The sequence below is a fragment of the Homo sapiens genome, chromosome 11 (genome assembly GCF_000001405.40).
Source record: "Homo sapiens chromosome 11, GRCh38.p14 Primary Assembly".
Taxonomy (NCBI): domain Eukaryota; kingdom Metazoa; phylum Chordata; class Mammalia; order Primates; family Hominidae; genus Homo; species Homo sapiens.
The window spans coordinates 126,097,932-126,122,790 of NC_000011.10; the positions used below are offsets into that span (position 1 = coordinate 126,097,932).

General features: G+C 51.1%; 2 long non-coding RNA genes across 2 annotated transcripts; one reads left to right on the forward strand and one right to left on the reverse strand.

Moving 5' to 3' along the window:
* Window positions 1-2,573: 2,573 nt before the first annotated feature.
* LOC124902782 (uncharacterized) lies at window positions 2,574-7,972 on the reverse strand. Its single transcript, XR_007062936.1, has 2 exons — window positions 6,860-7,972; window positions 2,574-6,213 (listed from the first exon to the last, which is right to left on the reverse strand). It is a non-coding gene; the product is annotated as an uncharacterized LOC124902782 (long non-coding RNA).
* LOC107984407 (uncharacterized) lies at window positions 4,625-5,510 on the forward strand. Its single transcript, XR_001748432.2, has 2 exons — window positions 4,625-4,992; window positions 5,398-5,510. It is a non-coding gene; the product is annotated as an uncharacterized LOC107984407 (long non-coding RNA).
* Window positions 7,973-24,859: the final 16,887 nt, after the last annotated feature.

Consider the following 24,859-nt stretch of genomic DNA (forward strand, 5'->3'; position numbering starts at 1 on the left):
ATTATTTGTCCCTAAAAAATAAATTTGCCATAAGTGCTATAAGGTCACCTAGCCAGAAAATACTGGAACAGAATTGCCTTCACATCAGATTTCAGAGCAAGCGAGACTAGCTAAAGAGACAGCATATCAGGGAATGATCAGGAGGGAAGCTTATGGTGCAGAGACCAGGAGGGTATCCAGAAAATGTGAAACAGTGGAGAGGGTAATGGAATCAAAACCATGTTTGGCTGGAGGGACACTAGAAATCTGGGTACCCTGAATTGTGAAGACATGGTAGGGGTGGGGGCATCTTAGGCGTTTGAGATTAGTGCTGGGGGCTTCTACTCCCCAAATTTCCCCCGCATGACTCCTATCAGAGGCCTAGGGTGCTGGGCAGAGGCTCTGGAGTGAGGAGGAGTTAGCCTGGGCATCGGGTTGCTGGTGGGTTTGTGTCAGTGGAACGTGAGAGTGAGGAAGGGGACTGGCGGAGCTGCCAGCACTCTCCTCAGGGCAGGGCCCCCACGGAGCAAACAGCTGTGGCCTCCAAAGGGCACCAGTTCCAAAGGTTCTCTTTTTCTTCATGAGACTACAAGACCAGGATGAGGGAAAAGGGGCGTTTGGTTGGGAACCTGGTTTACATTTTAGATAGAGACTCTAATTGATTCAGACCTGAGCCTCTTCACTTCTCAGGAGTGAGAAGCCACTGAGCTCCTTCCATGTTCCAGGAGAGTAAGGCCTTTTCCTCTCCAGAGAAGGTTCTGGCTTAACCCATTCCTGGCCCTCAGATGTCTGTGTCCTCTGGCCAGTGTAAGCTTGCAGAGCAGGGAGTGATAGGAAGAGGCCCTGGCATCAGGAAGATGCAGAAAGGATCAACACCCACTCCTTTCCTCAACTTCAGGCTTTGCTCCTTCCTCACAGACACATCCCTGCTGCCATGTGGCCTGGGTTCCCCTGGCAGCCTCACGACCCTCCCATCCCTGCACCTAGACCAGACGGATGCTTAAAGAAAGTCCACCTCCTGGGCGGTTAGAAGATCGGGGTCTAAATATCACTTATTTTTCTGCATATGATCTTGTGCCGGTCATTTAATTTCTTTGTACTGCGTATTCCTTAGCACAAAATACAAGCATTAGACTTTTTCCTTTTCATTTCTATTCATTTTTTAATACAAAAGCAATATATGCCTTTGTTAAAAATTTAAAAAAACCATGAATATAGAGGTGTATAGCCCTTCAAGCTTTTAAAGAATGAATTTTAAATACTGTCCATAAATCTATAAAAACATAGGCTTTTATTTTGCTTCATTTTACATAAATGAGATGATACTGTGCAGACTGCCTTGAAGCAAGCTTTTTTATTTTTTATTTTTATTTATTTTTTTGAGACGGAGTCTTATACTGTCACTGGGCTGGGGTGCAATGGTGTGATCTTGGTTCACTGCAACCTCTACCTCCCAGGTTCAAGCGATTCTCCTGGCTCAGCCTCCTGAGTAGCTGGGATTATAAGGGCCCATCACCACGCCCGGCTAATTTTTTGTATTTTTAGTAGAAACGAGGTTTCACCATGTTGGCCAGGCTGGTTTTGAACTCCTGACCTCATGATCTGCCTACCTCGGCCTCCCAAAGTGCTAGGATTACAGGCATGAGCCACTGCGCCCGGATGACTGAAGCATGCTTTTTAAAAAAACTTACTATATTATAGAGATTTTTCATCTAGAGATGTACAGTTCTACCTCAATCTTTTCCACGGCTGCATAGAATTTCCTAAGAGGCATCCCAATGTATTCACTTGTTTCCCTGTTGATAAACGTGTGGATAGTTTATAAAATTTCATTATTACAAACAATGCTGTAGCGAAAGTTCCCTTTGTAGTGACTCAACTTGGGGTGGTTGCCCAGCTCATTAGCCACCCAGGGGTGGTGTCTGTGATGTTTTCCTCACGGGGAACCCTCTCCTTGTCAGCATCCTTTACCCTGTAGTCCAGGCATCCACCGGGTCTTCTATTTGCGGGGCTGCCGTGCTTGGTCCTGGGGTGGTGGGCACCCCTTAAGCTGGACCAATGCAGAATCCTTTGCTGGGAATGTTCTCACTGAATCCAGGAGAGGGAAGCCCTGTTTTCTCATTAGGAAACTGGGATGACAAAAACCTAGGAGCTGCCAGAGGGCCTGAAAGAATGCAAGTGGCAGAGACAATAGAGAATCTCGTTTTTAACCAAAGGTCTAGATCATTTGTAAGGTGCCTCTGCTTCTAATGTTTTGGGTCGCTGGGAGAGGAAATCAGAGTGACTCGGGGCTTTCTTTTCTCACATTCACCTCTCTATGAATTCTGGCTGGGACTCTTTGAACTCTTGGAAGGCCAAGGACCTTTCTGGGAAGCCCTTTGCTCCATCTTCTTGACTTGATTGACTCTTCTAAAGGTAGAGATTCTCCAGCATCTCCTCGCCGAGATTGCATTTGTAATAAAGAACTACCTTCTTTGAGAGGCACCATTTGAAAGCTGTCCTCAGTCATTTGCATTTCAGTGTGTTTTTCAGGTCTTTTTATGAGAGCAAACTTTCCTCAGGGAGCCAGGATAAAGCAGGCAAACATGGATACATTCAAGGTGAAATATCTTTATTTCACAGTTCCTTCAAGCTCCTGGCCCTTACTTCTCCCGCTGGACATTCTCCCCATCTCACTCTTGCCATCACAGGCCACCACCTCCTCATCAAGCCTCCACCTCCTCTTCCTTCTTCTCTTCCTGCATGCAATGAGGATCAGAGTCCCTGCTGCACAGGGCTCCTATAAGAATCAAACGAGTTACTGCAGGTGATTGTGCTTTGTAAACTGTAAAGCACTGTCATTATTAACACCCAGGAGGAGAGGAAGCGCAGGAGCACAGAGACACCAGGAGGGAGGGGGCAGTGGATAATTGAGAAGGCAGAAAAGGGCAGTCCTGAAGGACCCCACACTGAGTGAATCGGCCAGTGGGAAAAGAGACTGGGGCTGGAGAAGGGGAGCTAGCAGCTTTGGAATGCAGAAAGTATTCAGATGTCCAAGCCAGGAGTGAAACCCCCACCTCTAACATTATTCATTTCCCTGGAGTGGGTGGCCTCAAGGAGTTTCTGTGACCTGCTCAGAGCAGGGGCTGCCTGAGGCCCGCGGCCTCTCTCGTGGTCCATCTTTCTGTCTCTCCATCCATCTCTCTCAGCCCTCAGGAGCTGGAGGCTGTTTCCCCCTGTCCATTCCTCAGACATCCCGAGGTGGAGAGAGACGGACAAGGAGATGTTGGTGTCTAGGAATCCTGGTGGGGTTGAGGGGAGTTGGGATCTGAGCTCTCCACTCTTCACCCCATCATCACTCGAGGGCCACAGCGGGGCAGTTGGGCACAGACAGCTTGGGGATGTGCGGCTCCCCCAAGGCGGGGCTGGGATATCAAAGTTGGAAGCGCGGGGGCATGTCAGCCTGGCTTTGTGAGTGGGGCTCCCATCAGTGCATGAAAGCCTTGCTCTACAAACTGCATTCGCTGCGCTCCCAACCTGCATTCCCCATTGGTCACGGCCTGGCCCCCAGCTGCATTCCTGGGCTAGAGGAGGCAGAGGGGCCTGGCCTCTTTGTTCTTCCCAAATCAGGGCTCAGAACCATGACAGGCTGATCACATTACCCAGCTGAGGTCAGCTTGGCAGGAGTGACCCCTCTTTCTCCTCCCCCATCTCACCAAGCCAGAGCCCCCCATTCCACCTTGTTGGCTCTCTCTACCTGTGCTGGGTCCTTCATAACAGGCTGCAATGGGTCTCCGTTGGGGAAGGAAAATCTTCAAAACCACAGCTCTGCTTCTGCTTCCTTCCAAGGTCAGATGCTGGGAGCAATGCCCAGACCCTCATTCCAGAGCTTGGCCAATTTCAGGCCATCTCCAAGGGCGTACAGCTGCTCTGGGGTGGGCCCAACTGCCCTGCTTGCTGCTGGACCTCTCAGAACCCATATAACATACACCTGGGTGGCGTCTCAGATCTGAGTTCAGTATCAGAACAAAGCCAGGTTCCCGCATTACCATAGATAGGATGCTTTTCTGACCTGAGCCCCCATTTAAACCACTGCCCCCTTGGCCTAGGGGTGACATCTTACCACCCCACTTCCTGTCCTATGCCTAGTGACAGGAACGCAAGCTTGAATCTGACCCGCCTGGGTCGATTCTTGGCTCTGCCACCTCCTTGCTGTGTGACCTTGGATGACTTACTTTACTTCTCTGTCCTTAATTTCCTCATTTGTAAAACTCAGCCAATCATGAGGCTTGAAAAAGATATTGTATTATAGATTTCTGGTCTGTTGGGTACACAACAAAAGCTACTTCTCCCACCCTCTTCCCTTCGCTTCCCTGAAATGAGTGGCCTCAAGGAGAGTCTTCACTAGGTCCTTCAGATCCTTTCTTCCTTTCTCTGAATTCCTAAAACTCCAAGAACAAGGGCCAAGGTATCTGGAGATAGCTATACCCAAATCACCCTGTGCTGTTCTGAAGAGTTTTATATGTCAGCTTTTGTCTCCCCAGCAAGCTTGTTGGCATTCCAGGAAAGACCTTTACTTTGTTATTTGTCCAACAAATGTGTAGTGAAGGTAACTGACCAGGCCACTGGGGATCCAGCAGTTGAGAAAGCAGTCCAGGTACCTGCTGTCACTAAGCTCGCAGCAGCATGGACAGGCAGGCCCTGTTTAATCGCACAATGAGTTGCAGTGAATTTTCCCAGTTGTACTGAGCACTGAGGTGGAAAAGCACAGGCCATCGTGAGAACAGAACAGGAGACTCTGAGAAGGCTCCTCTGAGTAAATGACATTGAAACTGAGACCCGCAGTCCTAGCAAGGAGCAGGAGGCAGGGAAACAGTCCTGGCTGACAGCCCAAGTGCAACTGTGAAGTGGGTGGGGAGGAGCCCAGCCGGATAAGGAACGTGGACTGCCTTCTAAGTGAAACCAGAAGCTATTATGAGGTTTTGAGCAGAAGCATGATGAGATCTGGGGTACTGGGCAAAGAGAAGAAAGGAGGTGAGGCTGGCCAGGGGTGGAAGGTGGTGAGACTCTTGGTGCTTCTTAGGCAGCGGATAGCTTGGAGGTATCGATTGGTGGCCCGGGCTGTATAGGGGCAGCAGAGACCGAGAGAGGCAGGCAGACCCATAGGGGCTCCTCCACAAAGATGTATTTGAAATTGAGGGCTTGGTTGGCCTGGGAGAACCATACTTTGGCCTGCTCTGAGTTACACAAGAAATGTGAACACCCTCGAAATAGCCCAGCCCTCATGGCTGAGGGGGTGTTTTCAGAGATTTTCAGCAGGGAGGACTCCTTTTATTGTTCTCACTCTCGCCTCATGACTTGTGTTGAAGGATTTTTGTCTGCTAGACAAATTGAATTCATTAAATGACTAATTAACTTTGCTGGCTTGTGTTTTATTAGTTGGGCCTACAGACCTGGTAATCCGAAGCTGCTGATGGCAGAAGATAACCGCTGCTTCCACATGGAGATGATTTAATTGCATCCCAAGCAGAGAAATGTGATGTTACGGTGAATCTGAGCAGCCTTGTTATTTATTTTACCCAATGGAGTTTATTGAGTATGTGTGAACAAAGCACAGCCCCTGCCCTCCAGGAGAGTTGAGTCTTGGAGGAGATACAGACAAGGAAACAGCCAATCACAATACAGCATTACATACCAGGCAAGCACAGGGTTCCGGGGTCACAGCCTTGGGAGGTGGGCTAGATGTTCTCCTTCTGTCCCTCCAGACGCACTCTGCACCTGCACCCACCCTGCTGCATGCCCCAGGCTCACTCGAAGGACTGTGCCAACCGCCCTCCTCTGCCCTGTCTCTTCCAGTTGAGTTTTTGCCAGTGGGATTCCCTGGCAGGAGGGGGAGGAGGTCAGCTTCCTCCCTGATCAGCCACCATGGATCTGGGGCTGCTGTGGCTGTGGTCCTCTACTGAAGGCCACAGAGCCTGTCAGGAGGCCCCTTCTTACAGCTATAGGTCTTGCAAAGTTCTGGTAGCTACCCCCTTCCCTTGTTCCTGTGGACTTATGGTGGAACGAGGACTTGAGCTGCTGCTGCTAGCTGTTTCATCACCCCTTGTTGGTGTCCTTTAATCCAGCCAAACACATTGTCAATAGTCCCTTCTTAAACTCTCCTCAGTTACCCCATTTGCAGGACTCGACTGTTCCGGCTGGGAACCTACCTGACTCACACAGGTAGGAAAGCTTCCTAGAGGGTTGCCATTGACGCTGTTATCAGAAGAATGACTAGAAATTAGCTCTAGTGCAGAAATATATGATTTCTAGGAGATTTTTCATAAACACTAAAATAGCTCTCCAACCTCCTTTGCTACCTATGGGACATTTAGGAACTGGGTAAGTCCAGGCTGGGAATCACTGGCCTAGAGCCTAAGAGGCTGCACAGACCCAAATGTAGAGGCCTTGGCTTTCTGCTTGCAGACTCTAAGGTGGGAAGAGAGAAAGTCAGGGGCTGCCTGCACCAGAGGGGCACTTCCCCTCAGGGGCTCCCTGGGACATGCGTGGGGGCCCTGCCATTTCCATTCCTTTCCCCAACCGGGCTCTGTCTTTTCAAAGAGCCAGCCTTGGGGGAGGCCGGTGAGAATGATGCCTGGGGAAAGAATGTGCCCTGCTCTGTCAGGCTGAGGGGGACAGCTGCCTGAAAGATCAGGTTTCAGAAGAAACAGGACTACCTCCTCCTGCATAGCAGTCCGGGCTCCCGGATGCCTGGACACCTGCTGAGGTCCCCTCCTCTGACCCCTCCCACTCTTCTCGGGGATGGGAAAGAGCTGAGCCCAGCTGTGGGTCTGTCATGCTCTCCCTCCCACTGCCTCTGGTCCCTCTCCCACTCCCTGTCACCTCCAATTAGACAACTCACATTCATGCTTTTCAGAATCTGGCCTCCTCACCAGCTTAATTCTGCACCGGTCCATGCCCTCTCCTGCATCTCCCCCCAACCCCCACCAGCTTCTGGAGGCTTCCATTTGAGATTTCATGCTGGCCTCACCCTCGTGTCTCTGTGGAGAACGCACTGCGCTTCTTCCTGCCAGGTCCGGGGCTCCGTCTCCCATTCCTCTTTCATCTACCTGAGACTCCAGGTCCTGCCATCTTTGGAGGTTAGCCTATGTCCCTCCGGCACCACCAACACCAGCACCTGCACCTCTCATGAGGAGCTCTGCTACCCTGTATTATTATGTAAATAACTAGCTACTATTATTTTCAGTGCCTACTCTGTGCAGGCAATTTGTCATGCACCATAACCCAACCATGTAGGGTGCTACCAGCACCATGTCACTGTTGAGGCCATCAAGCCCACAGAGCTGGGATCTTCCGTTTTGAAAGCCCTGGCTCTGAGCACTACACACACTGCCCTGTGGCTTCTCCCAGGTGCGCGGCAAGTCTCTGGGGTAGGGAGCGTCTGGTGCAGTTCTCGCGCTCCACTCGGGCTGCCCGGCAGCATTGGGCACATGGGCTGTTCACGGGGCAGCTGCAATTCTCCATTTAGCTTGAATCAGTTCATGTAGGGCTCTGCTCAAAGGCAGCCATTCCCAGGATACAAGCCAGAGTCCTGTTAGTGGCCCACGAGGCCCTGTGTGATTGCTGCACGCACTGTGCCACTTGCCTGCTCTGCTCCAAGCACACTGGCTCCCAGATGGGACTCCCATGTTCCAAGCATGCCCAGAGTCCCGCCATGAGTAACTGGCAAAGCCAGCACCCAGGACTCCTGTCTCTGGCCAGAGCTCTGTCCACCACTTAAGACTGTCTCCCAACTGCCTGGTCCACAGGACCTTATTTCCTGCCAGAGCCGAGGAAGCTGTATCCTTGCTGCAGTGGCTCTGTTCCCACGTGAGCACCGTGGCCATCGTGGACTCTCGCACCCTCCTGCTCCTGCAGCTATTGAGGCCTCCGGGCCGGCCCCACCTCTCTCTCAGAACTGTGTCCCCTCCTCCTTTCTCCCCACACTCCCAGGCCCCAGGCACCCTATCCTTCGGCTGCATATACCACTCCCAGGGGGAACCAGGACCCCTCGCCACCGGGCCTTCGCTGTTGCTGTTCCCCACTTGTTCCTGTCCAAGTCTTGAGGTTCTGTCCTAATCACACCCACCTGCGAGCTGTTCCAGTCTCCCCTCTGTCCCTTCTCCAGTTGAATAGCAGCCACTCTCCCTCCCTCTGCTGTTCTCCATGGCCTGTTGATTATCCGTCTCCTCACCCTCAGCCCCCATCTCTGCCATCAGGCCACTTTTCTTTTTTTTTTCTTTTGAGATAGGTTCTCGCTCAATTGCCCAGACTGGAGTACGGTGGTGGGATCTCAGCTCACTGCAGCCTCCACCTCCCAGGCTCAAGTGATCCCCTCCCCTCGGCCTCCCAAGTAGCTGGGACTACAGGTGGCATACCTGGCTAATTATTGTCTTTTTAGTAGAGATGGAGTTTCGCCATGTCGCCCGGGCTGTCCTCAAATTCCTGGCCTCAAGTGATCCGCCCACCTCAGCCTCCCAAAGTGCTGGGATTACAGGGGTGAACCACTGTGCCCAGCCTGGCACCGTATTTCTCAGCCTTTTGCTTATGTGTATTTCAGTCTCCACCTTTAGACTGTGAGACCCTAAAGGCAGAAAAAGGGTCATGTACATGTCATGCCCCGTGGTGGCTGGTGCCCAGTCCATACATGCAGATTTTAAATAATTCAGTGGAGTTGTCTGAGGGGGTAACTGAGGGCCAGACGAGAAAAGAATTGCCCCAGGTCATGAGGCAAGGTCCACAGCGCATCTAATCCCAGCAGGGATGGCAAGTGCAGTTTTCATTTCAGAGAAGCAGCCCATACGTGTTTAGTGTAAGTGGCAAGCAGACTTGTAGGGCAGTCCCATGACTCTTGTTTCTGGCCGTTACTAGTGCGATTGTTATGTCATGTGACAAAAGAGAGATGACCCGGAGGAGCCTACTATGATCTCAGGAATCCTTCAAGAGCAGTTTTCTTTGGCCGGGGTGGAGGGGAAGTCAGAGATGAGAAACGTGCTTTTGGAGATAGCTTGGAGACACCTGGCCAGGAATGTGGATGGCCTCTGAAGCTGAGAACAGCCTCAGCTGAGAGGCAGCAAGCAAAGAGGGACCTCAGCCCTCCAACCACAAGAAAATGAATCCAGCCAGCAACCTGAATGAGCTGGGAGCCGACACATCCCAGAGCCTCCAGAAAGGAGCGCAGCCCCTGGACATCTCTACTGCAGCCTGTGAGACTCTCCGCGGAGGACGCGGCTGAGCCATGCTGACGTGCAGAACTTCCAGCTATGGAATTTGTGTTTAGGCTGTTCGGTTTGTGGTCATTTGTTACAGAGCAATAGAAAAATAATACAGTGAGTATGTCTCAAATATCGCACAGGACATGGACTGAAAAAGCATCAGTCAAATTTAACTGGGTCTTCTGTCATTTTGTCTGCTAAATCTGGCAACTTAAATCCCAGGTAAGGCACGGACAGAGTCGGTGGGGCATAGACTCACTCAAGATGTCCCCAACTGGCACAGCGTTCCCCACACTGGAAGTGGTTTGCACACTCCCTCCAACCAGACAAAAAAGAGAGGGTTTCCAACGAACCCACCCAATAGCTGCACACAAATTGTAGCAACTTTCCTCACCTGGAGCCCATAGATAGAGTTCAGGGGTCTGTGACCTCAGATGGGAAAATCCGTACACCTTCATTTTCACTACTGTCTAACTTAAATATTTCCTTCAATTAAGAATATAGGCATTGTCAGTACTTATGACATTGTTACCAATATAAATCACATTACAGCTTTTCAATGGGAATGGCAATCATTAAAAAGTCAGGAAACAACTGTTTGATAAATAGGCTGTTGAGAAATAAGAATGCTTTTACACTGTTGGTGGGAGTGTAAATTAGTTCAACCATTGCCAAAGGCAGTGTGGCGATTCCTCAAGGATCTAGAACCAGAAATACCATTTGACCCAGCAATCCCATTACTGGGTATATACCCAAAGGATTATAAATCATTCTACTATAAAGACACATGCACACGTATGTTTACTGCAGCACTGTTCACAATAGCAAAGACTTGGAACCAACCCAAATGTCCATCAGTGATAGACTGGATAAAGAAAATGTGGCACATATACACCATGAAATACTATACAGCCATAAAAAAGGATGAGTTCATGTTCTTTGCAGGGACACGGGTGAAGCATCATTCTCAGCAAACTCACACAGGAACAGAAAACCAAACACCACATGTTCTCACTCAGAAGTGGGAGTTGAACAATGAGAGCACATGGACACAGGTAGGGGAATATCACACACTGGGGCCTGTCATGGGGTGGGGGATTAGGGGAGGGGTAGCATTAGGAGAAATACCTAACGTAGATGATGGATTGATGGGTGCAGCAAACCACCATGGCACGTGTATACCTATGTAATAAACCTGCACGTTCTGCACATGTACCCCAGAAAAAAGTATAACAATAAAAAAAGAAAGGTTAAGAAAAATCACATTACAGCTTTTGCTGATAATACAAAATAGTATTTACATTCATCACTATTTTGAAATTATGGTAGTTATTAGATCTTATTTCTTTCTTTCTTTTTTTTTTTTTTCTTTTTGAGACAGAATTTTTCTCTTTCGCCCAGGCTGGAGTGCAGTGGTACAATCTTGGCTCACTGCAACCTCCGCCCACCGGATTCAAGCAATTCTCCTGCCTCAGCCTCCCGAGTAGCTGGGGTTATAGGTGCCTGCCACCACGCCCAGCTAATTTTCATATTTTTAGTAGAGACAGGGTTTCCCCATGTTGGCCAGGCTGGTCTTGAACTCCTGACCTCAGGTGATCCACCCGCCTTGGCCTCCCAAAGTGCTGGAATTACAGGCGTGAGCCACCGTGCCTGGCAGAAATCTTGTTATTTCATGTGTTAGTTAAAAAGCACATATATTACTATATCACACATGTGTTTAATGTTTTGATAACCACATTTTAATATAATTGGGTTCCTTTGTAAATCTAATCTATTTTTTTTAATTATTCTAGGAAGGGGCCCATGGACTTCGGACTGCATCCATGGCACAAAAAGATGAAGAACCGGGCTAGAGGCCAGGCCCAGTGGCTCATGCCTATAATCCCAGCACTTTGGGAGGCCAAGACAAGTAAATCTCCTGAGGTTAGGAGTTTGAAACCAGCCTGGCCAACATGCTGAAAATACAAAATTACAAAAAATACCCTGTCTCTACTGAAAAAACAAAAATTAGCTGAATGTAGTGGCAGGTGCCTGTAATCCCAGCTACACAAGAGGCTGAGGCAGGAGAATCGCTTGAGCCCAGGAGGCAGAGGTTGCAGTGAGCTGAGATTGCGCTACTGCACTCCAGCCTGGGGACAGAGTGAGACTGTCTCAAAAAAAAAAAAAAAAAAACAAAAAAAAAACAACTGGGCTAGAGGAGGCAATGTGGCATAATGAAAGAAAAGTCATAAATATCAGACAACCTGGGTGCAGATCTTGGTTTGAATGCTTAATTGCTGTGAAAACTAGGTCATTTATTTACCCTTTTGAGCCTCAGTTTTCTCATCTGTAAAACAGAGTTATTGAGAGAATTAAAGAAATAATATATATGAACCACCTAGCACTGGCTGGTCCTCAATAAATGAATGCTACCGTTATGATTATCAATGCCCACAATTATTGCCAAAAATCACAACCACAGTGCCATTGGTTCTGCCTTTCCCTCTTCTCCAAATCTTAGCATAGCTGCCCTTGGTTCTAGCAGGGACAGTGGTGTCCTGTGGCCTCCAAATAGCTTTGCCCCATATAACCACAGCCCCTGCCCTGGGTCCCACAAGGCTCTGGTCAGCTCTTCTGACCGCCTCTGCCCTGTCCCTGGCTCAGCCCACACACCCCACCGTTCCAGCAAAGAGGACAAAAATGCACATCCACCCTATGGTGGTGACATCCTGCAGTTTGCTAATGAGAAACAAGTGGCCTTCCATGCTCAGTGCAGAGGGAGGAGGACAGAGTCCCACCTCAGGCCAAACCCACATTTCTGAGGTGGCAGAGGGTGACACGGCCAGGAGGGTGCAAAGGACTCCTCCACCTAGATGGCTCCTTGGACATGAAGGCCCTTGGCGGGGCAGCCTTCCCTCCTCCTCTCTCACACCACAGCCCTTCCTGTTATGGGGCACTGGACAGGGCTTGGATGTGGGCAGGAGGGCAGCCAAAGCCTGAGTCACTGGGAGGGGACAGCTGGGTCTTGAGTTGTGGTCTCCGTGGGGAGGACTGGGAGGATGGGGATGGGTGCAGAGGCTCTTCCTCTCCACTCCAGAAGAATCTCTTCGCCCTCGAGGTGTGAGCTGGAGGCCTGTCTCTGGAGCCCTCTGCAGCCGTCTCAAACCTCACTGCCCTTCTCAGCCTCCAAGGCCCACCTCCTTCTCTAGGGGCACCCACTCCCTCCTCTGCAACTCAGTTCTTTCTCGCCCCAGCCTCATTAGTCAAACAGAAAACAGAGGCCCATAGAAGGTCATTGACTCATTCTGGGTAACAGAGCAGTGTGAGGACTAACGTCTACTGCCTTAGACTCTGAGTAAAGCTGGAGACTCTGGCTGGACCCTTGGCACTGGAAAGAGGGACTGTCCCTGAGGCTGGGGTGACCTGGCATGTCTCTCCCAGTCTGGCCCACTGGCAGCTCCATGCCCAGCTCCACAGGCACAAGTAGGTCAAAGCCAGCCTCCCTGAGCAAAGCCTGCCTGACGCCTGCCCAGAACGCTTGCTGCCCCTCTCAGCTATCTGTCCAATGCACAGGCCTCTCTGGCACCATCCAAGGCTGCACACTGGCTCTTGCTACCTGCGTCCTGCATCTATGCCCTCCACACTCTGGGTCCCGGGGTCCTTGGTGACTCTCCTCTACAACACAGCAGCCTTGGGTTGTCTCTTTGCCTGGGTTTCAGTATCTTCCAGAGCTTTGGGAGGGAGAGCTTCCTTTCCCTCATCAGCCCAATGGAGCCCCGCTCAGTCAGGCTTGTGTAGCCTCCTGTGAAAGGGACTCAGTGTCTAGTGAGGGCCCATTTCCCGGTTCATAGATGGTGGCCTCTTGCTATATCCTCACATGGTAAGGGAGGCAGGGCAGCTCTCTGGGGCCTGTTTCATAAGTGCACTAACCCCATTCCCAGGGGCTCTGCCTCCATGACCTAATCACCTCCCAGGGACCCCACCTCCCAATACCATCACACTGGGGATTTTGTTTCAACACATGAATTCTGGAGAGACACAAACATTCAGACTCCAGCATTTCCAATACGACTCGAGCCCCACCACACCACCCAATTCTTGGCAGTCCCTTCCCTTGGCCCTTGTGGCTCCCAGAACCCACAGGGTCCCTGCACGCAAGGGACTGAGCCCCAGAGCCACACTGCGGCTGCCCTTTGACTTTTCCCAATGCCCTGTCCCATCCAGAGAATTGGACCTCCTTGGAATGATGCTGACCCAAAAGAAGGCTGATTTGCAGCACCCTCTGGGCTGCTGGCCCCGGGGCCGGTCCTCTCAGGGCCCAGCATGATGGCTGCCTCGCCCCAGCTCTCCTGTCTCACTCCAGACTCCCTCATGCCTTGGAGCTGAGCCTGCAGGAGCTGTGGCCAGGGCAGGTTCTGGACCCTACTCCACCTCCCTAGCCCCTCCTCTCTCCTCCAAGCAGTCCCGCAGTGGGTGCCAGCCCTGCCTGGGGCTCTGGCTGCATGACAATTTCCAGGCCTACCTTGCGTGGGGACTGGGGATTGGGCATGATAAGAAACAGCACATGACAGATGTAGAGGTTGGGAAGGTGGCCTGGGAAGGCCTCTGCAGTGTGGATGCAGAAAACTTGAAGCAGAGTGGCTGGCAACTGCCCAGTCCTGGGCTTCCCAGAATGAAGGGAAGCCAGACCTGGGGGTGGAGAGAGGGGCCAGAAGATGCCCTCATCTCCCATGGAGTCGCCTGTCTGCTCGCGGTGCTTTTTCCAAGCTGCTGGCACAGCTCCCTCGCAGGCTATTATTGTCAACACCCTCCCTGTTGCCTGGTGTCCCCATGGAGGGACACTGCCATTGGCCATGTCTTTGCCACACCCTGTCCTTGCCACATCCCAGAGACCTGGGAGAAAGGACTGGGGATTTGAGGTCCCCAGGCAGCCCATAATGCCGAGAGACCTCACTGCCCCTTAGCTGTCAAGCTCCTCTCTCCTTGGCTTCTCTTCTGTGAATTTGAGACCCCTCTCTGCCATTCTACCTATGTCTTCTCCAAAAGCCTAGGGAAGGAAGGATCTGAGTGATGGAGACCCCTCACTCCCACACACAGGAAACATCAGGATGAGAAGCCCACATCTCTCCTCACTGGTGTCTCCCAAACCCACCTTCTCAAGGGATCTTTAGCCCCCAGCCTAGCAGTAGGTAGCATGGGCTCATTTTGAACCATGAGCCCAGAGCCGGGCTGAGCCCTTTCTCCACTGAAGGCCAATCTCTTGCCTATCCCCTGCCACACAAGTTTCCCATCCATTCTGGAACACCCTTAGTCACAGACTGTCTGTGTGGACTAAGGGGAGGCTTAGGGTGGCAGTAGCTGGACACTGTCTATACCTATGTCACCGAGGGATGCAGGGGCAGCTATTTCCTGGAAGAAGAAAACAGAGAAGCCCAGAGACAGGCGGCGGGGAGACAGAGGCGGAGACCAAAAGCAGCATGACAGAGAGACAGGAGCTGGGGGAAGCAGAGAGGGCCAAATTGACACCACATGGCTGCCGCGCCAGACCCCAGGGCCCAGCAAACAGGCTTCATGCTGTCAGTTGCCATGGTGACAAACATGCAGGAAATATCCAAGATAACTAGAATAGTGGCAATAACATGTGTTCTGGATAAAACCTTCCGCGGCCCCACCCCCTCCAGTGTATTCGTTGCATTACTCAGGATAAACTTGGCTTTTGCACATTCACCTTCCCCGAGAGGCTGGGGCTGCGGGTCCTCGGGTTGTCGGGTGAAAGGCACGGCTGCCCTTGGGAAACGAGTGGACCTGAGGCAGATTTTTGCTCAGGAAAAAAAAGGTGTATTTTGTGCCTCTCACCTCACTCCTGCCTCTCCGAGTCTGGATTTGGGCACCCATATCCTTCTGCTCTGGAACGCGAAGGCCAAGAAGAGTCTGAATTCCTGTTTGAGGTCACATAGCAGGTCTGAGGACAGAGGGGACATCCTGGGAGGTCCTTCAGGAGCCCACAAAGCATCCCAAGGGAGTTCAAGATCCATCAAGAAGCCAAAGCTAACGTGAGGGCGCCTGAGGCCGTGTGCAAAGCTGGACACCCTGGCAGTGCCGGTGCCTCTGCTGGGGCAACACTGCCTCCACTCCCGAAGCAAGGGCAAGGTATCCCGGGGGAAGAGGCAGAGAAGGGAGGGAGGAACAGGGGCGCTTTGGGGCAGGTGACTCTGAGAAAAGGAAGAAAAGGACAAGTTTGGCCTGGTATTCACACAGAAAAGTGACTCCCACACCTGAGAGAATGGAAGGAAGTAAGGGGGACATCTCAGAAGAGAGCAGAGCCTCCTAGAAAGCACCCCCTATTCCCCCAGCTCCTAAAGATTGACAGAGGGTTGGGGGGGGCGGGCGTGCCAAAGTCACCACTAAAGGCCCAGCTGGAAGCCAGCCAAGACAGTTGGTGCCCACCAGACTGTTTGGATTCCCCCTGCACTCTCTGGGTTGCTGGCAGAAAAGATTCCGTGGAAAGGACGCGAGATTTCAAGTCCTGCCACCTACTGCCTGTACAACCTCAGTGAGGCCGGTGACTTCCCAGGGCTTCCATCCTCTGCTGGGTGGAGCTAACACTAACTTATCTCTCCAGGCTGCTAGGCGGAGTAAATGCCACAGGGCACGTGGGAGCACTTGGCACATTGTAAAGCTCTGTGTCCAAGCTGTTGAATGCTGTTGTGACTCAGGCAGAGAGCAGCAGGCAGGCCAGGGAGAGGTTGCAGGCAAAGGTTCATGTGAGGAGACTCTGGTTTTTCTAATGACACTACACCCAGATTTTCCGATCTAAACAACCAGCTTCAGTTGTGATTTCCCATGTTGGAAAGTTTCTGGAAAATGATCCATGATAGAAATGGGTTTGGGAATGGTCCACCTGGACACAGTGGCCCTTACTTGGCTTGGAGCATTCCCCTTGGGAATGCCAGAACCAATTCGTGGCCTAGTGGGACAAAGGGAGCCGTTCTACCCAATGACCCTTGCTCCTGACCCTCTTCAGTGACCACAATCCCAGCCAGCACCCCTCCACCCCCCACCACCAATCGGGAGCATGAGCCAGGTCTGGAAGCGGCCCTTAAATGACCTTTTAGACCCAAGTGAGGTTTCCCAGCTCCCTTGGGAATCTAGGGATCTTACAAACTGAGATGAAACCAGATTAGCTTCCATTTTTGCTGTTGGGAAGAGTGAAATTCACCCCACTCATCCCAAGTTCAAAGCCTTACTTTGGTACCATGTTGCAAGGAATGTGGATGGAGGTGAGACAGAGACAGGTAGGGAAAGCAAGAAATGGCTCAAGCCTTGGTGCTCAGCTTCCCCAGTAACTGCCAAGTGTAGGGAGGGACTGGCTCAGGGAATCCTGTTCCCCAAACCCAGGACCAAGACAAGACCACTGGAGGAGCAAGGAGCTGTCAGCCCCTCACAGGTGGCACACCAGCTGGGCATGCAGGGGAAAAGGCAGACCGAGGCTGGGCCCAGGACCTCCACCATCCTGGCTCCGGGGGAGGACAGCAGGAGGCCTGGTCGGCAGAACACCACCCACCACCTCCCCAGCTGGCTGCCTTCTCTGTATCTGGTTTCACTCTCTCCACACTTATTTGCCACACCAGCAGAAGAGGCAGCTTCAGTGGCAGAAGTCTGGGTGTGTGTGGTGGGGGTGGGGGATGATGGGGGCAGAGGTGGGTGGTGGAGTGATGGGGTAGAAGGAGGACCCAGACAATCCCAGTTGCTTCTCCAAACACTATCAGGAAAGTTCAGAGCAAATAAGAGCTCTAGATGGCTGGAGCCCAGAGGAGGGCCTAGTGCCTGCCTGCACCCTGTCTTCACAATTCCCTAGGGTGTTTGAGAGAAGCAGAGGCAAACTGTCCATTACAGAAAAGCCTTAACCTGAGAAGGGGGAACCCGGTCTCCCTTCCCTACTCCATAGCCCCAGCTGGGACTCCAGCCCAAGCGCCGTGGAAGGTGTGGGCAGAATACAGAGGCACAAAATCTGCCCCAAAGACTTCGGGGTATGGTGTTTCATGGTCCCAGGGTAGGGACATAGTGCCGGCAGCCACTTTTTTTCTGTTTGCCAAGGAGCTTTCTCCCTGGGGATTAACAGGGCCTTCCTGCCACCCCATCTGGCTGGTACAGGAGCCAGAACACCACCCCTGGCTGCCAGCCAGCCTGTGTCGGGGGAGCCAGGGCTCTCTCAGAGACTTACAGACGTGGTGCTGGGGCCTTAGGGCAGGAAGAGGGAGGCAGAGGCCTCTGGGGCCACCCAGCTGGGAAGTCCTGACCCTGAAATTCAGCCAGTCCCTACCTCTGGCCTGTGGCTGAGGGTGGACAGGGAGTCAGGAGGGTCTCTGTTTTGCCTTCCTCCTCTCTCTCTCTCTCTCTCTCTCTGTCTCTCACTCTCTCCTGAAGATAGGGAATATATAACCAATCTATAACCTGGAAGACTGAGGACAGGAGACTAGGAGGCAGTGGACTTCAGTCTTGGTAAGATGTGATCGCCCGTTGGAAAGGCCAAGCCTAACTAAGGGTGGACAAGCTCTTGGACAGGGTAGGAATGGGACTGAGAACCCACTGTCTCCTCCTCATACCACTGCCCACATTTTATCCACTTTCTCTCAGGGACCCCCGAGACCCCGTAGCCAGGAACCCTCCCCCAGCCCCATGAAGGGAAGGAGGGCCCACTGCCCTGTGGGGTAATGAGCAGCTCCACCCTGCTTGGGAGGAGGGTCAGTGAGAGAGCCGCTGGCACATCAAAGAAGGCAGGGCCTGTGTCCCGGAAGGCAGCTCTCAACAGCCAGCAGCACCCATAGAATGGGACCACGCCAGACGGCCCCCAAGACCAATTCTCATCTCACGCTATGTGCCCCCCACCAAACGGCTGTAGCCTGCACTTGTCTGTCCGATCACCCTTCCCTGCACTGTGCTGAGTAAACAAACACAGCACTCAGGCAGCCCTCTGCTGGCAAACACGTCTGACTTAGCAACCGCTCCTAGAATAAATAAACACCACACGCTTACACACACTCAGACACACTTGCTCGTGCTCTTTCCTGGAACCGGGGACTGCTCCCTGTCCCACGTGCGGCTCCCACTGGGCCCCAGCCTCAAACAGGCTACATCAGAGTAGTGCCTGAGACTGTCACCCTTTGCCTGGGTGTGGGGATGAGCTGGGGCCTCAGGTGCACAGAGACCTGGACCCAGGCTTGGAGCTTCCTCAGGCAGCCCACCAGTCCCGGGGGGGGTGGGGGGTGCTCTGTTAGGAGCCACTCATCCTGAGGGGACCACCGGAATGAGACTCTAGACACTTGGAACATTACAGAAGTAAAAAAACCTTCGACATGATCCAGTCACCGGCTCAACCAGCAAAACCTCCCGCAAGCAGGGGGTGACCCGAACCCCAAGGATAGGCCTCACAGAGCCTCACAGATCAGAACTCGGGCCCCAAATCCTTTCCACTTCCCCACAGAGGCCCCCCCTCCCCCCATCCTCTGGATTCTTTTCACAGTTGTGTCCCTTCGGGGCCGGGATAGTTTAAGGGGGAAAACACCACCCAGATGGCAGATTCAGAGATGACAATTGGGCAGTAAAGCCTCCCGCTTAGTCCTGGAAGGACCTTCTCAGCAAGGTCCTGCTGGCCTTTACCCTTCCCTGGGAGCTTCCCAGGAGGTATCCTTGCCCTCTCCTTGGGAAGGGTGGCGTCTTGAGACTGCCAGCCCTGCAGTAAGTGCCAGGTATCCCTAACAAGAAGTCAGATGAAAATGTCAGTTACCTGGAGGCCTGTATTAAATCTAGGGGAACAATACAGGAAAAATCACTTAGGCCAAAGAGACTGGAAGTTACCCCCAGGAATTTGTGTTTAATACGTAAGAAAATGCAGGCGCACCGAGGCAGGGGTGGTGGTAGCATCCATTCCTGCCTTGAGAGACAGCTACAGACCAAGACAGGCCTGGCATCCGGCAGAGTGGCACAGCAGAGGCATCAAAGCTTGAGCTTCGGGCAGATCTGGTTTCAGATCTCAGCTTTTCTCTTATTAGCTGTGGAGGACTGGGCAATTTACCTCATTTCTTCTCTCTATAAAGTGGGGGAAATTCCCCTCTTTCATGATTGCTGTAAAGATTAATAAGATGGCATATATAAAGACGCCAGCACTAGCACCCTTGCCTTCAACAGTGACTGACAGAGATGGCATGATTTAAAATCCCACCCTTTGTTAAAGCTGGAAAAAACATATTTACGGAGTTGAAGCAGAATATGTGAGAAAGTGCATTATAATAAAAACGACCTACAAAATTGAGGCATTATCATTTAAAAGTTTCACTGTTCAGATTAATCTGTACTTTGTATATTTCCAAAGCCCAAGCCTTATTCAATGACTGCATATTGTTACTATAATAATTGTAGTCAGGTACAATAATTGTTCATTAAAATAGCAATAAAAGTTGAATGAAAAAATTCATCTTGTCAGTCAAGAGAGTACTGTTAATATAATAATTGTAGTCAGGTACAATAATTATTCAATAAAATAGCAATACAAGCTAAATGCAGAATATTCATCCTGTCAGGCAAGAGCATATTTCTTTTACTTGCACCGTAACTTTGTCATAGTGAGAAACTAACGGAGGCTAAGAAGAAAGCACAGAAAGAATTCGCAATTGCAAAAATATGGAGCTGGGGACTGGGCACAGTGGTTCATGTCTGTGATCCCAGCACTTTGGGAGGCCAAGGTGGGCAGATTGCTTGAGCTCAGGAGTTTGAGACCAGCCTGGGCAACATAGTGAGATCCTACCTCTAAAAAAAGAGGAGCCTTTTAAATGCCCGTCAACCAACAAGCAAATTAAGCAAATGTGGTAGACCAGGCACAGTGGCTCATGCCTGTAATCCCAGCTCTTTGGGAGGCCGACGTGGGCCGATCACCTGAGGTCGGGAGTTCAAGACCAGCCTGTCCAACATGGTGAAACCCCATCTGTACTAAAAATACAAAATTAGCTGGTCGTGGTGGCACACGCCTGTAATCCCAGCTACTTGGGAGGCTGAGGCAAGAGAATCTCTTGAACCCGGGAGGCGGAGTTTGCAGCGAGCTGAGGTCATGCCATTGCACTCCAGCCTGGGCAACAAGAGCAAAACTCCGTCTCGAAAAAAAAAAAAGAAAAAAGAAAATGTAGTATATATACACCATGGACTACTACTCAGCCATAAAACGGAACAAAATAAGGGCCTTTGCATCAACTTGGATGGAGCTGGAGATCATTATTCTAAGAGAAGTAACTCAGGGATGGAAAACAAAGCCATATGTTCTCACTTATAAGTGAGAGCTAAGCTATGGGGATACAAAGGCATAGGAATGGTAGAAGGGACTCTGGGGACTTGCAGGGAAGGGTGGGAAGGGGGTGAGGGATGAAAGAGTACACACTGGGTACAGTGTACACTGCTCGGGTGGCGGGTGCACCAATCTCTCAGAAATCACCACTAAAGAACTCATCCACATAATCAAAAACTACCTGTACCCCCAAAACTATTAAAATATATATTTTTAAAAAGAAAACAAAATATTGGGGAATAAAACAAAGTCAGAAAGCCCATAAAGCCGGCTGGTGGCTGTAGAGGCACAGAGGCGTGCATTTTTAGGTCGCAGGTGTGGGGGTGAGGACCCTGAGGAGGCAGTCTCGCCCGGACTCCTGGAGACCCGCATAGCCCTCGCTGGGAGACACTATGGGCCTTTTCTACATGTCCCCTCACCTCTCTGTCTTCTCTGGCTGTCTGGCCCGAGCTGCCGTCCATGTGAGCAGACACGGCACTCAGGGCCAGGAGACTCAGAGCAAGGCCAGGAGGGCACAGGGGCAGGGGACTGGCAGGCTGACAGTCCTGGGGCTACACGGGAAGCGGTCAGCTCAGAGCCAAGGCTGTGGACCAGGGCTGCTCCTCAGAACTAAAGGCTTGCAACCAACTACTGGCTAGACAAGGCTGGGAAATCAAGCATTACAGAGCGCTGCTGACTGTGAGTCTGCATGGGCAGGAGGCTGAACTCACAGCCAGGAGACTAGGACATCGGGCAGCAAATCTAGGAAGGGTCTGGGCAGCAACTATGGGACCCTATTGGCAAGAAAAGACTTTGATATGGGACCAAAGACTGGCTGAAGAGGGAATGCCTACATTTTGTTTGCCAAGTGCAGGCCTCAAGGCCTGAGTTGATAGGTACAGGGAAACACTAAATGGCCTGGGGTGTGACAGACTGTGTGCAAGGCAGTTCCTTAGAGCAGACGCAGAACTCGCCATCCTGAAACTCTACCTGTGTAACTGCCTGCAAATAGCAGCAGGCGCTCATGGGGAAGAACATGGTTCGTGACTCTTCTGTGCCACTTACTAGCTTGGGAGAGTTACCTAGCCTCTGTCAGTCTCAGTTTTCTCATCTTTAAAACAGGGATAATGACACCTACCTCATCTGGTAGTGGTGATTGTGTGAACTCGGTGATGTAAGGGATGTTAAAACGCTTTAGCACTTGGCCTGGCCCCGTTGAAAGTGCTCCATAAAAGCTAGGCATGATTACTAATTAAACATTTATTGAGAGTACCCTGGCCAACATGGAAACCCCATCTCTCCTAAAAGATATAGAAATTAGCCAGGCATGGTGGTGGGTGCATGTAGTCCCAGCTACTCAGGAGACTGAGACAGGAGAATCACTTGAACCCAGGAGGCGAAGGTTGCAGTGAGCCAAGATCATGCCACTGCACTCCAGCCTAGGAGAACAGAACGAAACTCCGTTTCAAAAACAGCAACAACAACAACGACAAAAAGTTTCTTGAATGTAGGCCGGGCGCAGTGGCTCATGTCTATAATCTCAACACTTTGGGAGGTCGAGGTGGGTGGATCAACTGAGGTCAGGAGTTCAAGACCAGCCTGGCCAACATGGTGAAACCCTGTCTCTACTAAAAATACAAAAATTAGCCAGGTGCACTGGTATGCACCTGTAATCCCAGCTACTGAGGCAGCTGAGGCAGGAGAATCCCTTGAATCCGGGAGGCACGGTTGCAGTGAGCTGAGATTGCACCATTGCACTCCAGCCTGGGCAACAGAGCAAGACTTTGTCTCAAAAAAAAAAAAAAAAAAAAAAAGTTTATTGAGTGCCTATTATATGCCAGGCCCTATACTTTGTATAGGACATACAAAGATGAAAAGTGTAGACACTGCTTTCAACAGGTCTAGGCTTCCAGGGGTGGGCAGAGGCTCCTACTTCAAATAAGCAATCACAGCCGAGTATGCTCATTAGCAGTGGAGGCAGGTACAGAATGCAGAAGGGGGAGGTGGGGGAAACAGCATTCGAATTTGCCTTGAGAAATCAGGGAAGGCCTCCAGGAGGAGACAGGGCATGAGTTGAGCCTGGAAAGCTGAATAGGAGGTTTTCTGGTGGACAAGTGGAGAAAGAGCAGTGTAGGTAGAAGAAGGAGCAAATGCAAAGACACAAGAAAAAAATCGAGTCACAGGAAAGCCTGCTGTGTTCTGGGAGTTCGGACAATGAATGGCAGTGCTGCTATGGCTTAAAGAGGAGAGCTTGGCGGGGGAAATGAAGTTCGGCTGACAGATGGGACCAGAGCATAAAGGATTTTTTAATGCTATGTTAAAGAATTTAGATTTTACCCTGAGTGATGAGAAGCCACTAAAGCATTTTAAGTAAGGGAGTGATGGACAAGATTTATTTTATAAAAAGACCATTCTTGGGGCTATGGGTAGTATGGATCGGCTATGGTCAGGACAGGCTGAAGGGAAACCAGCTGGGAGACTAGCAAGAAGTGAGAGCCTGATCTAAGGAAGCCAAAATGGGGCTAGAGGCCGGGCATGGTGGCTCACGCCTGTAATCCCGGTACTTTAGGAGGCCAAGGCAGGAGGATCACAAGGTCAGGAGTTTGAGACCAGCCTGGCCAACATGGTGAAACCCCGTCTCTACTAAAAATACAAAAATTAGCCAGGCGAGATGGCGGCGCCTGTAATCCCGGCTACTCGGGAGGTAGAGGCAGGCGAATCACTTGAACTTGGGAGTCGGAGGTTGCAGTGAGCCAAGATCTCGCCATTGCACTCCAGCCTGGTGACAGAGCAAGACTCCATCTCAAAAAAAAAAAAAAAAAAAAGCTGGGGGAGGTGGGCTAGAGTTGGGGGGGGTGGGCTAGAGGTGGGCAGATGCATGCTTAAGCAGGAAACCTGGCAAGACAGACTGGGTGTTAAGAATGAGGCAGAAGGCCTGGGAAATGTTGACACCCTTCTCCAGGATCGGATCTTCAGAAATGTGAGCAGACTCAGAGGGAAGCAAGAGTCCTGCTTTGGTCTCAGAGAACTTAAGGTGGAGCTCAGAACAAAGTCCTTGGCTGGATATGCAGATCTGGGGTCATGGGCATGAGGGTGTAGCTTAGCTGGAAGTGGGGAGTGTGCAGAGGGAGGAGGGAAGACAGCATTGGATAGCCACAGGTAGCCATGGGAAATCCCAACCAATGTGCATGCATCTACTGGAGAAAAGAGGACCCACAAAGGAGACTGAAAAGAATCTTAGAAAGTTGTAGAAGAGATCCAGGAAAGAGCAGTGTCACGCAGCACGAAGGGGCAAAGCATGTCAGGACTGCGGGGAAGGTCAATGATGTCAAACACTGCTGGACAAGTCCAGTAAGGAAAAGACTGAAATGTGACTACAGGTGGTCCCTGATGACTTCACAGAGGGCATTTCTTTCTTTTTTTTCTTTTTTTTTTTTTTTGAGATGGAGTCTCACTCTGTCACCCAGGCTGGAGTGCAATGGCACAATCTCAGCTCACTGCAACCTCCGCCTCCCGGGTTCAGGTGATTCTTCCACCTCAGCCTCCTGAGTAGCTGGGATTACAGGCACCTGCCATCATGCCCAGCTAATTTTTATATTTTTGTAGAGATGGGTTTTCACTATGTTGGCCAGGCTGGTCTTGAACTGCTGACATCAGGTGATCTGCCCAACTCGGCCTCCCAAAGTGCTGGGATGACAGGCGTGAGCCACCGTGCCTGACCCACAGAGGGCATTTCTGTGATGACAGTGCATGCCAGGCTACAATGCGTTGTGGAGTCAATGTGACATGAAGGGAGAAAAAACAGGGGACACTTACGAGAGGCTTGACTAAAAGAGAAGACATGAGGGGTCATAGAGACTTCAGGTGGAAGGAAGGTTTCATTTTGTTTTTTAGTACGGGAAATACTTGAATGAGTATGTATGGCTAAGGAGAGGTGGAGCTTAAAGATTCAGAAAAGTCTCAGGACGAAAGAGAGGACCTTAGAGCAAGGTCCCGGAGGACACAGGAAGAAATGGGATCCCGATGACATACCCCTCTTCCTGAAACATTCTTAGCTCACATCAGCGGAAACAGACTCTGAGACTCTGAGGTTTTCATGAAGGAGGATTACTGGGGGGAGATCTGAGGAACCAGCCCTGACAGGGAGACCTCATGGAAAACGAGGGTGGCTGAGGCATGGAGGTTTGTAGAGCGTCGCAGGCAATGGAGGAAATTCTTTCCTGATGGACTCCTTTTTCTTTTCAAAATGAGAAATTGTTGAAAAAAAGTGCTCGAGATCTCCAGAAGAGTGGAAAAGGCCTGGAATGACCTTAGATGACAGTAGGAATCACAAGCTGGGATTAGTTTGTACCCT